The following is an 18,376-nucleotide window of genomic DNA, read 5'->3' as shown; positions in this document are numbered from 1 at the left end:
GGTTTAAATTCTGTCTCAACTCCTTCATGAAGCCTTAGAAAATCCAGTAAACAGATTGTTAATTTTTGCACTGCTGAGTGCAGGAGCAGTTATGTCTGTCCCTTTCTTGATACTTACCGTTTTATCATCTTGCCTTATCAGCTTGTGCGTATATGCCTGATTACTAGGGTGATGGTTATATGTGGGCACTCAAACTGGAACACTTTGGAGAGTGAAACTTGGGAAGACAGAGTGCTATTGGGGCTATGAACAGTTACTGAGGACAACAGGCATAAATAGACACTGCCCTGAGCAACCTAGGCTGTGTGATCACTGAACTTATTACCATTCCCGGGTCATATGGTTCTTCTATCGTCTCAAGGCCTTGCACAGAGCAGCACTTAATGACAACATTAGATGCTATTCAAAGGACCATGGATGGCACATGACCCCAAACTCTTTATTTGACAGATGAATAAACTGAGGTCCAGGGAGGTTAAGTGACTTGCCTGTGGCAGCCCAGCTAGTTCTTACCTTGAAGGTTTGTTATCTTCATGCTTAACCTTGTTTTCTTATGGATACCCTAGACAGATAGCTTTTCTCAGATATTCCCCTATGTTTATGGCCTGGTGGATTAATAATGTTTTCTTGATTCTGGTCAGATTCTGATGTGTAACTTTTGCATGATCTGAATGTTTCTGTTGTATCCTTCCAATTCATGTGTTGAACCCTAATAAGTAATGTGATAGGAAGTGAGGTTTTAGGAAGTGATTGGGTCATGAGGGTGCTCAGAAAATGTTAATTGAATTAACAAATGATCATGGAAACACTGATTTCTATAAATGAAAAGGGACTTAAAAATAATATAGTCAGTTTCTCTAATAAGTAGGAAGAAACAAGCTCAGAAAATATTATATGACTTATTCAAAGGTCAATCAGCCACTGATAAACCCAGATGAAAACTTAGTTCTCCTGGGTCTTTCATTTCCCAGACCGGTGTTTTGCCTACAATGTCCCACTGCTTTGAAAGTGATTGACAGTAAAATATTAGAGCCCTATATTTTAAAGTGACTTCATAATCATTTTTGTTTTTTCTTACAACTTTCCAAATGCTGCCTTATGTTACTGAACTCCCCACTACAACCCTATGAGTCTGGCAGGAAGCTGAACAGTTTTACAAATTAGGCAATCAAGACTCAGGATTTAAGTGACTTGGACTGAACTGGCTCAATTTCTTCAAATATAGAGAGTACAAAGAAACCTGGTCAATCTTACTACTGTCCTTGAAAGAATGTTTTTTCCTAATTCAGCAAGGCAAAACTGTTAGCAAAAGTGTTCTTCAACAAGGGATCTGTGATTGTATGTTAAAAAGCTTTCTCTAAGGTACTTATCACTTAAGTAACAATGACCTGATTCATTTTTGTTTTTTGTGGGGAATTGTAACAGTAAGGAAATCATGGTTCTTCACTGTTTTAGTGAGATAGGTGAATTTTGGAATTGTGTACCAACTGAGGTAAGGCAAAAGTCTACAGTAAAACTGTTAGAATTCTACTTAAAAATATGAATAGAAAATGCAGAAAATCAGTAAATAAAAATAAATCTACAGACCAGTTGCATGCAGAGTGAGTTTGAATGTGTCATGTATGATGCTGAGTTACTGATGTGACTCTGAGCACATGTGACTCTGTGGGCTCACCCCATAGGACTTGGTATTCTCTGCTGGGTTCACACTATCTCTAATTAGGGAACATTTAAGCTTATGTTTACTGTGTTAGAGAACATCGACTTAAATCTACCCTATTAACAAATAGAGTTTCTCAGGTTGTTTTGTTGCTTTGCTCTGCCGAAGTTCAATTTAGACCATTTCTAATTAAATTAAACGTGAATGAGAGAAGACTGTTAGAAGAGGTAAACATTCTCAGTTCTTCCAGAATTCTTCCTAAAAAGTAGCTGAACCACCCTTTCCCTGGGGTTTAGCAGAGATTGTGAGTTGCCTCATGGAAGGCAGGGGCCATGCTTTATTGACAATATTTATTTCCAGAACCTCAATGAGGACAAAGCTTATAAAAAGCATTCAGTACACACTGGCTGAATAAACCAATGAGCTGCAGTCTGGAAGCCTTCCCGGGACAGACTCTCTGGACTTTAGTAAAATAGAGAGCTTCCTTGGAGGTCCCCACACACTTATCTTGACAGTGACCTTATTGGTTTGTAATGAATTGTTGATGTTTCTTTCCCACTAGAAAATTATCTCCCAGAAGTTATTTTTTGTCAGCTGTGAATCTCTATAATCTGTGAACACACACACACACACACACACACACACACACACACACATATTAATTGAATTGTAGAGGTTTTTTATGTCTAGACTTCTTATACTAAGAGGGTACCATAGACAGCATATAGGCATGAAACAATTAACTCAAAAGCAAAAATTTTATTAAGACAGAACTGAGACGAGGGTTCCAGTATCTTGAGAGTCTCCCCTGGCCAGTGTTTCTTGTCTCCTTCACCTATGCACCCATCTGACAATTTAAAAAACTAAAGCTTGGAGATTCATGTTGGCAATTTTTTATTATTAGTGTACGTGGTATATATAGCTTTTCCGCAATTTGGTTGGAGAAATGTTTTGCTAGCTTCCCAGAAACTAGCAGCCTTCACCAAAGTGGGGGCTGTCTTAAGGTGTGCCCCCTTACCTTGGGATAAAGCTATGTGCTATGGAATCACACAAGCCCGTGTTTGTATTTTTTTCATTTTAATTTTTAAACACTTGCATAAAATTAAGGGGTAAAGTGCAGTTTGGCTTCATGGATCTATTGCTTTAGGGGAAGTCTGGGCTTTTAGAGTGACCATCACTTGCATAATGTACATTGTACCCATTAAGTAATTTCTCATCCCTCAACCCCTTCCAACCTCCAACCCTTCTTAGTCTCTAGTGTGATTGTTCCACACTCTACATCCACATTATTTAGCTCTCCCTTATTTAGCTCCCCTGTATACATTATTTAGCTCCCCCTTATGAATGAGAACATGCAGTGTTGGATTTTCAGAAAGCCTTTCTGAGCCTTGGTTTTCTCATCTGTGTAAGTGGGATTTGAATGCCTTCCTGAGGGACTCTCAACCCTAGCTTAACCCCTCTCCTCTCCTCCCTCCCTGCACTAATGCCTGTGGCTCTCTTCTGTCTGCTAGGGTGGGATCGAAAGTTAAAAATATCAGCATATTTCAACCTTATTTCAGTTTTCTTGACATTGTTTTAGAAACTTGAGTGTTACTCCTCCCTTTACCACAGCTAGGTTATCGTGTTCTTTCACAGTGCTTTTAGTGTTTTTTTTCCTATGTCATTATGTTCTGTGTTAGTCTGCCCCGCAAGACTCTAAGCTTTATGATGATTAGAGACTTTGTCTGCTTTATTTATGCATGCCTAACAATCAGTTTTGAATCTTGCACAAATGTTGAGTGCACGGTTAATGAGGGAATATGTAGTGTTTGGGTTAAAAGGCATGAGCTCCACAGCAAGCCTGAGCGTGGAGTCAGTGAGCTGAGGTGAATGGGACCATCTCCAGTTTCAAGATGATCTTATCGGGATCAAACTGATGTAAAAAATCTTATTTTGTACTACAATAAAAGTTTAAAACTGAAAAAAAATCATGTAATTGAAATTAAATGAGCTTTTTTTGTTTTCTGTGGTTCATAACAAAATACTTGAAACTGGGCAGTTTATAAAGAAAAGGAATTTATTTCTTACAGTTATGGAGGTTGAAAAGTCCAAGGTTGAAGGGACTTCTTGCTGGTAGGGACTCTCTGTAGAGTCCCGAGGTGACACAGGGCATCACACGGTGAGGGGCTGAGCATGTTAGCTTAGTTCTCTCTTCCTCTTCTTATGAAGCCACTGGTCCCATGCCATTAAAACCCATTAAACCATTAACCCAGGAATTAAGTTTCAACATGAGTTTTGGAGGCGACAAATATTCAAATCATAGCATTGATTTGAATATTTGTAGGGCTCTACAACAAGGCCACTGTGTCACCCAGGTTAGTAACCAATAAAACATACATTTTTCATTAGTGTCTCTCAGTTGCTGAAGTATGAGGACCCTGACTGATAGCTTTCATCTGTATTATTGGTGGTCGGGATGATATTATTTTATATGTCCTAAACAGCACCAAATATAAAGATCTCTATAATGTCCTTAAATTTTTTTTTTAATTTAGCTTTTAAAGTTATTTGAGGTTTGTAGATTTTGCTGTTTATCTCACAAAATAACTCTGTTTCAGTTACTCTGTCTTGGACTTACTATTTTCACCAGTTGAAATGTGTTGTAGGAATACTGGATGGAATTCAGCATATGTAAGTTCTAGGCCCATTTTTCTTTTTTAGCAAATAAGCTTTGCCATTATAGTTACATTTACATTACTTATGCCCTGAAGGCCTAAGTCTTATTTGTGTAGTGAATAGGAACACACACACACACAGACACACAGACACACACACATTTATCAAAATTTGATAATATGTAATTAATTTAGTATTATCAACTTGGGAATTACTGAATTCTTTTGCTGTGCATAAAGATTATTGAAGAGCAGCATCTACTCCCTTAGAATTTTCACATCTAGTATTCTTTCTTTATATTGTTAAAATAATTTTAATAATGATCTAAATTGGATATAAATTCAGGTAATTATTGCCATCATTTTGTATAAGTACTGTCGTATCTGGTACTAGTTGTCTCTGACAGCAAAATAAAACATGATGATCAATATTTTGGATTGATTTTTTTCTGCTGGGACGATGTGAGCATACACTGATTAGAGCTGATTTTTGCTGCTGATCAGTCTCTATGAGGCAAAATTTCAATAATTGTTTTGTTTTTAGGTGACTTTCTTCTCTGATGTCCAGACTGATTTGCAGATTGCAAAGATCCACTCTTATAATAGAAAGAGATGCCATTAGATTAGAAAAAAAGCCACTTATCACAGGAATTACGTGCTAACACAGTGGTTCACCTTAATGTTCTCTCTTTATAATGCCCCCTTTCAAGATGTGCATAATTGATATTGCCATAAGCACTCTCCTATTCTTTTTGCACAGCTAAAAGAATAGAGTGGATTAGAATACAGAGTAAAGTCTCAGGATTGCACAACAGAATTAATCCTGTTCTATGTCATAAAATATTGCATTCATTAGAAATGAATATTTTCATTGCAAATGAACTGAGACCGGCAGGTAGACGGAGTGATTCCTTTTATTTTGTTTCTCTTAGAAGGAATGATTCCAACAAATGGTAAAAATACAACTAAGGTTTGGCATGTGCCAATCACCTATTTCACAATGTATTTTTTAGAGGAAAACACACACACACACACACACACACACACACACATATATGTATATCACAAAGTAACCCTTTTCTCTTGTGGCAGTATCTCCTTAGGTCCCATTCATTTTTAGAACCCACATGTATTCTTAGCACCCTGTGATACTTGCTACCAGAGTGAACATATTTTCCCAGCCACAACCTGATTGCATGTTCTGGATTATACTCATATTCTCCAGAAATAATTTAAGGATTGAGTTCAATAATCGTGCTCCCGAGGTGGGTGCCATCTGAAATCTAACCCATAATGTTTACCTGCGGTGATGATCAAGAACCTCTCTTGAGAGAATTAGGCCCTTAGGGATATTTTAGAGCAACGTTTAGATTTTTTAAATAACAAAAATCATGATCAAGAACATCTGTTGAAAGAATTAGGCCTTTATGGATATTTTAGAGCAATGTTTAGATTTTTTAAATAACAAAAATGCTAATGAGAATGATGATGGATTCTGCTTGTTGAGTGCTTTTTGTCTTCATAAATTTCCATGAGAAAGGTGTTAATGTGTCCATTTTATGAATTAGTCATCTGACACTCAGAACACCTAAATAACTTGCTGGAGGTCACACAGCTGGGTGAGCGACGGAGCCAGAATTTGACCTCAGCACTGCCTGATTATGAAGCTGTGTGTTCTGTCTGCTTTCAGCTGCTGCCTCTTATTTCCAGTTCCAAGGTCAGTCTAAAACAGTCCTCCCAAACACCCACATATGTTGAATCCTTATGCTGAAGGCAGGTGGTGCCATGGGCTTTTCAGGGTGAGTGGTTTATTTTTCAAGAAGCACAGAGAATTAATTCATTAAGTGGAACTTGAGAGGCTACTCAAATATCTGAGCTGCTGAGAAGTTCAACCTTTTTAATTATCTGGAGTGAGACTTCCCACAATGTTAAACCTTCAGAATGGTGCCAGACTCAGAAGCTCCTCTGCAGTGATTCTGAATTGACAGAATACAGTCAAATAGCCAAGATGAAGTCAAGATCTGAACATTCCAACCAGCGTGTTGCAATGGTTCTGCCACACAGGAAAAAGGAAAGGCGGGCTTTTGTTGCTAGTGAAGGGATAATGACCAATTAAAAAAATAAAACTGAGCAAAGAGAGACAAAGAAGGAAATGAGACAGGGAAAGAGAGAACATAGAGATGAGCATAAAAATTGCAGAGAAAGTGAGTAAATGTAGTGTCAGAAAAGATAAAAAAAGGTGAAATATTTTGTGTAAGGGATGACAACAGGGTGTCAAGTGACAGCTATTCTAAGAGCACAAAAGAAACCTGAGACTAAAGAAAGAAATCATTTTTGTGATTAAGAGAAGGATTAGGAAACAAAAAACAATTTAATTATTACAGATAATATTGCTAAGTATTTTCGTTACACATATGAAGTACTTCTGCGTGTGATATTTCATTTAATCCCCTCACAATATTCCTGCGTAATTGGTTAAGTGGATATTTCAGACTTTATTTCAGAAATATAGAAACTTAGTGCTTGATTTGTCTAGTTTCTAAAATAAGTGGTAGAGTTGAAACAAGAAAATGTGTGTTTTTTTTCACTAGGTGCTGCTAGACATCCTTGTGTGATGTTAAAAGTACATCTGCCATAACATGGCTTTACCACGTATGCTTGGGGGCATTTAATTACTGGGCTAGTCTGGTCTTCTTTTGAAATACCCCTAGGGGATAGCGACATGTAAAAAGTGCAGCACTGAGTGTATTTCAACTATTGCATTTTACTAACCTGAGATTGTCAGGGTGCTTTTATTATAAAATGGAGATCAAGTATGGAAAAAAGGTATTACTTCTGTTACTACCGCTTTGGTGGTTATAGAAGGTGATGAACTGAAACATCAGGACCTGTGGATTTTGCAACAGAGACAAGGCCAAACTGGCTCACCTGCAGAATAAACAAAGGGTAATGTCTATAAAGAGAATTGTGAATAACGGTGCTTATCTGTTGTTCCTGTCTACCCAGGATCTCTTTTCTCATCTTCTTGGTTGTGAATACATTAGGTGGGGTTGACTCATCTCCCCTTCTCTATCCAACATAGATTGGCATATGCTTTGCACTGGGCCAGTGTTCTCCTTGGCTACTTTCTGCCAGAGTACATGGAAAAAACAGGTATTGCTCAGTTGTATAGGGATCTGGGGTTGCCACTTACCATTTTATCCATGCCATGGTGGGAGCCTGATGGAAAACCCAGGACAGGTGGAGCCCTTGGCCCCACTGATTGAGCCTCCAGAAAATAGGATCGCCTGAATCCTTGGACTTGCCATTTGGGGTAACAAATAAATCCTCAAGCTAGTATAAGTTGAGATCTGGTCACTGTAAATCAGTCAAATACAAATGCAGGTAGCTGGTGCATCATAATAATAACCAACACTTATTGAATGTATGCTATACTAGTAAGCATTCTTTAATCACTTCATTCTCGCAGCAATCCTATGACGTGCATGTCCATTACTGTCTCCATTTCACAGGAAGAAACAGAGACAGACTTGTTAGATGACTTGTTAAAGATCAGAGATAGGAAGAAGCAGAGCTGGGATTTGAACTCAGGAAGTCTAGCTGTACTCTGTGAACTCTAGTCATTCTCTATCTCTCTTTGTGTATATCCCCTTGCCATATATGTGTAAATGCCTTTATCTTTCTATATGTGTATCTATATCTGTCTGTATGTTATCTCTCTGAAATATGCAAATTATTGGCAAGAATTGAATTTATGTTACAAATTAGAACATTAATGTTGGTTCTGTGCATGGAAATTAGTATCTCAAATTTCATCCCAGTGTCATGGACAAGAATAGAAATTTCTATTAGAGCTTAAAAAGAAACTATAGATCTATGAGTGTTTTGAAAAGAGCACAATAGGAAAATTAAAATAAGTATAATATTGAAGCATCCATATTATATGACATTAAGTCTCAGTAAGAGACTGAGTTAGCTGATCAAATCTTTTAGCAGTAAAAACAAAACAAAACAGACAAAAAAACAGAGGCAATCACGTATAAGCACTAGGGCATATTTAATATGACTGTTATTGAGGAGAAGACTGCAGTTGGGAAGAATCTTTGAACAGATACTTACTAAAAACTAAAATATTTTGTGAGTCAGAACATTTAGCCAATCCAGCTACTAAGATATTTCAAAGTCGAATGAGTTATCACAAAGCTAGAAGACAAAAAACACTGTACTGGGGAAGCTGTCTAATTTAGTTAATCCAGTTAACTAACTTAGGCAGTTAGTGAGTCTGGTGCCAAGCTACATGTCGAATCGAAAGGGTTAAGTTTTTCACCTTGCATCACTGATATAAGGTGCTCGGAAAAGTAAATTTTATTACTAAGAAGTGTCAAGCTCCTATGTAACTTCCTTTTGCAAGAAAAAAAGCAAGAAAAGTAGGTAAACACTTAAAAAAATCTGCTCTTATGCTTTTGGAAAAAAGAATTTTCTAAGAATCGTGGTTATGATTTAGGACAGAGGTAAGCAAATGGGCCAAATCTGGCCCACCACCTGTTCTTGTAAGGCCTGTATACTTGGAACGATTTTTATGTTTATAAATGGTTGATAAAAGTTACAAGAAGAATAATATTGTTACTTGTGAAAATTATATGAAATTTAAATTTTAATGTCCATACATAAGTTTTATTGGAATATAGCCACACTAATTTCCATATTGCCTATGACTGCTTTTGTGCTATGCCAGCAGAGTTGAGTAATTGTGGTAAAGATTGTATAACCTGCAAAGCCTAAAACATGTACTGGTCCTTTACAGAAGCAATTTGCCAACCCTCTATTTGGATAATAGAGCAATGGTATTGGGAGGTACTTGAAATGTTGTAAGGAAGCAGAGTTAGTGCCTAGAAACAAACAAAGTGACAAATAAGTAAGTATATGTGGGTAGGTTTTAAACATCCTTCCTATTGTCTTGATATTGTTTCCTGAATTAAAACCGTAAACCAAAATTGCATCCAAATATGCAGTGCAGTTTTAGAACCTCTTTTTTTTTTTGAATCTTTATTCTATTTATTACCAATATGATAAGTTATACAACCTTTCTCAGCCTTGGTTTTCTCAATGGAAAAATTACAGAAATAATTCTCTTTTTTGTGACAAGTTTACACAACCTTCTTTGGGAGGTGATGTAGTGGGTTATCAATTTCAGCATAACATAGAACACATGTATTTAATAATAGAATGACTTCATGAACACTGTGTCCTGTTGAAATATGTAGTCTCATAAAGATAAAGCAGGGACATATTTGGGTTTTGGAATGAGGTTTTCTTAAAATACCCATGTAAATTCTGAAAACGTAGCCATTCTTGGACTTCATTCACCTCATCAATGGACTTGGAAAAGGAAGCAGGATTCAAAAAATGAAGGTCAGCTAGCAGGAAGATTATGATCCCCATTCACCATTGTACTGCAATCTAGAAATTGCAGTTCTGGTGTGGACATAGGAGAGGCAAAGAAAAGAGTGCTAAAAAAGGGCCAAGTAATTCCATATTTTGGAGTTGACTGTCAGATTGTTGTGCTTATGCTGTTTGTCTGTTTATAATTACCAACCAGCTTTTTTTCTTATCTCTACGTTTATAAATTCTACCCATGTATTATATTTATTTAAAAACATTTGAAGCATATAACGTATACAAAATGTATATCTCACTGTGCAGGCTGAAGAATGATAATCAATTTTTCCATGTACCCATCTTTAATCTCTCAAACACTGTTTCCTCTGTGTTCTTAGGAAATACTTTTTCTATTTTCTATTCTAATTGCTTGTGTATATGTGTCCTAAATTCTTCTGAAATACTGTGAGTTTCTTCAATGCATGATTCTTGACTCATTCATGTTTGGTTCCCATTACCTTCAACATGTAAGGATGTAAATAAATATGTGTAGAGTGAGTGAGTGAATGCATTGCAAGCTCTCTGTGGTGAGAACTCATTTATTATCTTACTATTCCTTTCAGTTACTATGCTTAGGGGCAATTAACAAATGTTGGAATTGAATGCATTGAAAGGTCCTGTTAGTCTGTCTAGGCACCTCTTGAATGTTTGTGCAAGGCACTGTGCTGTGTTATGTGTTGTTCATTCATGTTCATGAAAGTAATAAAATATAAAACTTACTGAGGAGTTTGAGACTATCCTGTCTGTTCATTGAAGACCTCATATTGTCATATTACTTGCAATTGTAATTGTCGTATTCTTTCTTTCTCTTTCCAGCTATTTCTGGTAGTCATGTCAAGTTGAGTTTATATGCTAGGTTTGATGAAGAGGCAGCATGGAGTGTGATTGGAAAAATGGAGTGTGATCTAATGGAAATAAACTGGGGAGAACTTAGCAGGGCCAGTTGGTTCAGATTCTCCTCTGTATCCTGTTTCTTCAGAGATAGGATTTTGCTTTCTTCTGGGAATATGGAAGCCACTCTAGAATGAGGGTCTTATGACCCACTTCAAGGGAAGGTCAGAAAAATCCTTCCTGGATTTTAGGACCAAATTTGAGGGGAAGGTGAGAATGACCTTCCTGCTTCTGCTATAGTCTCCAATGTCAAGGTGCCATATTTTTGGGCTAACATGTCTTAAACCCCATCAAACTGTATTATCTAATCCTTGGTTTCCTCATCTGCAAAATGGAAATGAAAATATCAGTTATATAATGCTAATGGAAAGATTAATCAAGATATAATATAAGATCCTTGACAAAGTCCCAGTAATATAAAAGGTGTTCGAGAAGTGGAAGCTATTATTAGTAGCTGAGTTTTATTTTTTACATTCTCCCAATAAATAACAATAGCTTTTAACAAGTTAACTTAGTTTTCAAAAGATGCTAATTTACAGGATGAATCACATATTTTGCTCAAATTTGGGGCTTTTACCCTTCTTTAAGAGAATTTGAGTAACATCTACTTTAAAATAATATAAAGCAAAACATTTATTTTCTGATAATAAAGTTTTAATTCTGAAATGTAGGTATGAAACACTAATTTTTACTGAGCACTTATTATTTGCCATATACTGTTCTAAGTACTCTACAAGGAATTAACTCTAAATCCTCACAACATCCCAGTGAGGTTGGTAGAATGGCTATCTTTACAGATGAGGAAATTAAGGTACAGAAAGGAATAGAAATGGCAGAGCCTAGAGGAAAATTCAAGCTGTTTTACTCTTAGCCCTACATTAATAATCGTTGTAATAATGTTACCTTAATATGAAAGAAAGTAATATTTGAAGTAAGAACTATCAGAGACAATTTAGAAGACTATTACTTCTTAAAAATCTGTATTAGGTGAAAATATGTGCCAGATTGAAATGGCAATATGCAATATTTAGAAAAAGCAAAAGTATCTCCATAGAGCTCTAAAAAATTAGTGTTAAAATATTTGTACATAAAATGCGTAAAAGTATTTGTACATAAAATACAGCCTTTGTACATAAAATCTAGTGTCAAAGTACTTGTACATAAAAAGCATTTGTACAACATTGCGTACTGTTACCTTAATATAAGAGAGAGTAATATTTGAAGTAATGACATATTCAGAGATAAATATTACTTGTTAGGAATCTCTATTAGGTGAAAAAATGTGCCAATTTGAAATGGCAACATAGACTGTTTAAAAAAAGCAAAAGCATCTCATTGGAGCTCTAAAAATCTAGTGTAAAACTATTTGTATATAAAATGTATGTCAAATTAGTAATAAGGTATGAGGAGCCTCTTGTCAGAGACATATATGGTAGGCATTTAAAAAATCTTACTGAACTCTGAATCAACTTTCTGCATATTATGGTTATTACTTTGAAAATTTTAAAGACATGAATAATTATTTTGGGGCATGAATTAGCAAATAATATATTTTATTGATGAATAATAAATCCTGGCAAATGTTCAAAGCATTTTACTTTTTCAGCACTTACAGGTTCTGCCAAGGTATGTGGTTTCTTGTGATTGTCATCAATTTCTGAGGGAAGGGTTCCTAAAAAGGAGGAGCATTTCCAGTGGTCTTCAGCATAGACTTTGCTGCTGAAGGACGCCACCTTTAATCTGCTGCTGCACAAAAGAAGCAACTTTGTTTGAGAGCCTGAAGTGATAACTTGTTTTCAGATAATCTTAAGTGCACTGACTCTTAAGAAATGATTGTTTTAAAGGAACCACCATAACATTTTATAAACAACTAATCCTTACTTGTTTTTTTCAGAGCTAATTTTTTAAAAATATCATTTAGGATTTTTGACACCCTGTGTCTCCAATCACTTTAAGAATCCTTCAGAAAATTTCAAAACAACCTATAGATTTTGACCTATAGATTTCATATGGTTCAATGATTTGCTTGGAATTCTTTTAGGAGAACAGGGATATGTTCCATGAAATTGGACAGTCATCTTAAAATCTTTGAAGGGTAGCCAGATGCCAGTGATCACTTATGCAGAAATAAAATTTATAGGCAGAAGTTCCTGGATGCATATGAAGAGGAAAAGAGACATTGGGAGAAAGAATAAGGTTGGAAGTCACATTCTTTTTCAACACAAGGATGAACATTCTCATGATAAATTCTTATAAAATTGTAATGGGTTGGTCAAATAAACGAATAGCTTCCTGCTAACAAGTGTTTAAAAAGAGACCAGGTAACCATCTGTTAGGTATAATATGGAAAGAATTCCTTTTGGGCTGCTGAGTTTGGATTAAATGATCTGTATGGACCTTTTCAAATGCAATGACCTGAGAAAGTAAAATGGTAGAATGTTTTGACGTTAAGAATGTTGGTGATCTCTGCCTTAGTTCATAAGCATTATGAGAATTGTAAGAAAGAACATGCCTCAGAGTTCTTCCTAAAAGTTTTCAAGGATAGCTTCAGCAGGAAAAAATAATTTTATAGTTATTTTAAAAATAAATTTTATGAAACAAATATTAGGAAGACATATAAAAAGCAATTTATAATGGTTTATTTCACATACTCAGTAGCAACAATTAATTTCAAAGCAGATGGAGCTCTGTTAGGAAAATATCCCCATGATATAAGTTAGTTTAATTTGGTTGTCAGCAATAGAAACTGGTGGTGCATGACATAAGCAATAAAGAAATTTATTGATGAGACAGGATAGCTCACAGCACTGAAGAAAATTCTGAGACATTGACTTTCAAGTAAACCAGAGCCTTTATGCAGGTCTGGCTATAACAAATTAATACATAGTGTCTTCAAGATGCCATTAAGGTGATGAATTCTGGGCATTTTATGTGCTTGTTTCAGTCTGTTCAAGACTAAAATTTTAGTGAAAAGGTATTAAGAGAATATAGTTTCAAAGCCTTGCTCATTTCTTGGCTTGGGAAAGAAAAACTCTTTAACAACCCCACCAACATATTATTCAAGGGGCGTGGATAGCTTCTCAAAGCAAAATTGGGGTGCCATTATTGGAAAAAGAGGGATGTAAGTTGGTCAGAAGAAAACACAGATGTGCACCATCTTGAGCCATTTGGTTTGAAACATGAATTTTCAACCCCTCTTAGCTTCTTTCAACATTGCCTCTTCCTCAAAATGCATATTTAGCAAGAGCAGGGCACAACAGAAGAGAAACAGCTGTTCTGCACATAAAATAAAAGGCATTTGTAAATTCAGAGAGCAACTTGTGCAACGTCGTCTACGGTGGAAGACTACAGACTACAGAGGAGACTCACTAGTGTGGTAGAATGTATAGGTTCTATGGAGACCCATCACCGGAATGACATTCTTCTTGCTGGGGCTGGTTGGTGGAGTTTCAGCACAGTTGTATCTAGTATCTTATTTCAAGTTGTTTTCTGTGCTTGCCATGCCCTAACCCCTCTCCATTATCCCAAATGTGCCCTACACATCTGCTGTGCATAATGAACTTACCTCCGCGGTGCTTTGTAATGGTAAAGAACCAATGTGTAGTGAGGAATTGTCAAACAGAAGCTTCTACAAAAGCCATGGAGTATTTTCGATAAGTAAGCTCTTGATTAGGAAACTACCAACTATCCTGGAATTCATGAGAGTGGCAAGATGTAGGGTGGGGAGGGAGAGTTTCCACCTTATATGAGACGGAGATCCAAGGCATCTTACTTGCATAATAACCCACACACCAGCATTTTGTCCTCTAGCTATTCTTATCCCAAGCTTGATTCCGTGTTCAGCATTGGTCCGCATTCTTCAAAAAAAGAGAAAGTACTTATAGAAAAGCACACTATTTCTTCTCTTTTTTTTGAGATGGAGTTTTGCTCTTGTTGCCCAGGCAGGAGTGCAGTGGTGCGATCTCAGCTCACCCAACCTCCTCCACCTCCCAGGTTCACATGATTCTCCTGCCTCAGCCTCCCAAGTAGCTGGGATTACAGGCATGTGCCACTATGCTTGGCTAATTTTGTATTTTTAGTAGAGACAGTATTTCTCCATGTTAGTCAGGCTGGTCTCGAACTTCTAACCTCAGGCGATCCACCCACCTCGGCCTCCCAAAGTGCTGAGATTACAGACGTGAGCCTTTGCAACTGGTCTTCTTTCTTTTTCTAGGAAAGATGGGGGAAGTGTGTCACCTGACATATATTACAAAATATTTTTCAAATACTTGGCATTGTTTTAAAGTTCCTCTGGAAGACTTAGAGACATCTAACTTCAGATTTCTATAATCTGACTTATGTTTGCATCACATGAACCTTAATACAAATAAATCATTGTTACATTTAGATAATACGTTGCAACTTCTAATGGAATATAATACTATTTATTAAAAGTTTAATTTTGATTTATTATTCAATTACATTTTATTTGTGAACATAGATACTAGGATTTCTATACACTTATATATGCTAAAAAACTTTTAAATATAATAAAATTCAGTGTTGAGAGAATATAAATTTCAATGAAATGGAGCATTTTGTGTTTATCTTGATCAAACTTGCTAGAGGCATATTTCCTTCTAAATGATTATTTTAATGTAATTCAGAAAACACAATTGTGCCCTCAAAAATGACTTTTTCTCTTGCTTACTATATTTTAAGTAACTGGACTATTTGACTGAAGGACATTCATAGAAAATCATATGCAACAGTAAATATCATGTGGCTATTATGAGTAATAGGGAATGAGATATTCAAGAGAAAAAATTTAGTTCATTTCTTTGATTGATCAGATATAATATGGGCAGAAAATTTTGTAGTCCAGTAAGAAAGTACAGAAGTGGTTTTTTGTTTGTTTTTTTCTAAGGATCCAGAGCCCCAAACTGTTTGTACCTCCCTATAGATACAAATGTATACTTCTTTACACTGGTGAAAGAGAAATGGTGGGAAATTCAGCACAGAACATAGTGCTGATGGCTGTACTATCTTTTAAGTGATATCAATGTTAATATGTAGCCCAATACGAATTCATAAAAGTGTTGTGTGGTCATAGCATTAATGTATCCATAGATATAAAATGATGGTAGACCAACGGGTAACCAGAATACATAGAAGAAATTCACTAAGGAAGTTATTTCATTCTTCTATGACTGGGGTGGAAAGGTTCTCCATGAGACCACGAACTCTCATTATTGTTCCAGTGGGGAGTAATAAAGCCCCATGTGAGCTACCAGTCCACGAAGAACATTAGGAATTGTCCATTGCGATTGTCCCACTTTTACAACACAAGAGTGAGAGTGATTTTTCAATACCATGAGAATAATTAGCTTGGCAGAAGTTCTGGCACTCTGGCCTCCGGACTTTTTTTGATGTCACTTTCAGGGGGTTCCTATTAGTTATTGCTAGTCCAGGGGGGTTGAAGATTAAAGAGTTTTCACTCTTCTTTCTGCCCTTTGGAGCCTGAAAGGAAATAAGTGAAATATTTTCTTTTCCATAGTGTAACAGAAGATGCAGGCCTTATTATTTTGTGTAAGCAATGTGAATTAGAAATTACTTCTTTGTCCTTAAGTTTTATATTTAATATTTTATAGCTTTTAAGTGAGTAATAAATTATTTTTGTAATAATTCATTATTTATGGAATATTTTTAAACACAATTTAATGTAATGCCACAAAATGACAGGCATAGGGAGAAAAACATGCCTGGAGATAATTGGCCCAGTGCTGCCCAAAATAAATTAAGGCATTATTTTAGTAGAAATATTGATGGAATTTCTAAGAAAAGCCTTTTCACTAGCAATGGCAGATAATCAGCTTGGATTATTCAGGATCCCAAACTCCAATTTATAAAATTTTCTTTCTGTCTTTTAGCCATCTTAATTAAATGATTTTAAATTTTGGCAGCTAACTCATTTTGAACAACTTCATGGACTTACAATAATGAAATTATTTAATTATCTCTGAGAGGTATGGGAGAGAAAGAAACAGCCTATGGAAACCCTAAAAATGAGTAGTTGTCAATTTTTTTTCTTTTCTATCTATCTGCCTCTTTCTTTTCTTTTCTTTCTTTCTTTTTCTTTTTCTTTTTTTTTTTTTTTGACAGCGTTTTGCTCTTGTTGCCCAGGCTGGAGTGCAATGGCGCTATCTCAGCTCACTGCAACCTCCACCTCCGGGTTCAAGTGATTCTCCTGCCTCAGTCTTCTGAGTAGCTGGGATTACAGGTGCCCACCACCACACCCAGCTAAATTTTTGTATTTTTAGTAGAGATGGAGTTTCACCATGTTGGCCAGCCTGGTCTCGAACTCCTGACCTCAGGTGATCCACCCACCTTGGCCCCCCAAAGTGCTGGGATTACAGGCGTGAGCCACCGCCCTTGGCCATGCCTCTTTCTTTTGATAAATGTTATCCCAGCTTGGCCGATCGCGGGGCTCACGCCTGTAATTCCCAGCACTTTGGGAGGCTGAGGCGGGCAGATCACAAGGTCAGGAGATCGAGACCATCCTGGCTAACATGGTGAAACCCCATCTCTACTAAAAATACAAAAAATTAGCCAGGCGTGGTGGCGGGCCCCTGTAGTCCCAGCTATTTGGGAGGCTGAGGCAGGAGAATGGAGTGAATCCGGGAGGCAGAGCTTGCAGTGAGCCGAGATCGTGCCACTGCATTCCAGCCTAGGCGACAGAGCCAGACTCTGTCTCAAAAAAAAAAAAAAAAAAAAATTTATCCCAGCTTTTTTGAGCTTCCACAACTTCAGCAACATATTAATACCTCTGCACTTTGGGAGAGGACAAATCCATCTGGCTCCTAGATTAAGCCCATTAATATATCTCAGTTGTCTGACCACAATCCTGGTTTCAGGGCCCTGGAACTAGTTGAAACCCAGGAGACATTTGCTGGGCTCTTCTGGGAAGAAGCTCCTTTGCTTTTAGAAAATAGCAAGACTGGATTTTCCATTATTTCTTTCCATAACAACATTCCCCTGTCCTTTAGAGACCAGCATTTTTTACAGTGTGAAGTAAGGCATCATGTTAAAACATCAACATATTAGAGAACTAGTTAACTGCAAATTTTCCAACAGCCATGTTTTGTGATTTTTTTCAATTTTTTTTTCTGGAAAATGTACATTGAAGTAGAATAAATCGAAGGGAGTGCAAACACCATTCTCTTGTGTTAAAACTTGGAAAAAAATAGGACATCTCTTGGCATCACTGCGCACCTGGGTTTTCCCAGCGGGCTATAGTTTCCCAATCACAGATAGTGGAGAGGCAATTATCTCCTTTCTAGGCTTTCTACTTTCAGGCAAAAGCTGTTGATGTACAATAATTGAGTTTTCCCAGGGTGTCTAAAGAAAGGGCATGTCATCAAGAAGTGCAGCTGAGTCCTTCTTGTTTATTTCTCTTTGTAATTTAAAAAAATTTTGTTATGGAATATGTAAGACCCAATGATCTACCACTTAAACTTAAGAACCTAAGTGAAAACAATGCACCCACTTCCCAGCTGAAAAAATAAAACATTGCAGGTAATTTAGGGGTGGTGTGCCCCTTGCCAGTCTCACAACCAGTCCACCCAAAGAGGTTCCTGAATTTTGGCTTAATTTTGCCCTGTTTTTTCTTATACTTTTACCACCTGTGTTGGTACCCATAAGCCATATATTTTTAGTTTTGCTTATAGTTGAATTATGTACAGTTGAGTCATAC

General features: G+C 36.6%; 1 protein-coding gene and 1 long non-coding RNA gene across 4 annotated transcripts in view; both read left to right on the top strand.

Annotated features, from left to right (window-relative positions):
* KCNIP4 (potassium voltage-gated channel interacting protein 4) overlaps window positions 1-18,376 on the top strand; it is a 1,220,167-nt gene that overhangs the window by 94,460 nt on the left and 1,107,331 nt on the right. The window lies entirely within an intron of this gene.
* KCNIP4-IT1 (KCNIP4 intronic transcript 1) lies at window positions 1,125-10,972 on the top strand. Its single transcript, NR_002813.1, has one exon. It is a non-coding gene; the product is annotated as a KCNIP4 intronic transcript 1 (long non-coding RNA).

This window comes from Homo sapiens, chromosome 4 (genome assembly GCF_000001405.40).
Source record: "Homo sapiens chromosome 4, GRCh38.p14 Primary Assembly".
Lineage (NCBI taxonomy): Eukaryota > Metazoa > Chordata > Mammalia > Primates > Hominidae > Homo > Homo sapiens.
The sequence above is the reverse complement of the archived record's forward strand: the minus strand, read 5'-3'. Positions and strand labels throughout refer to the sequence as shown.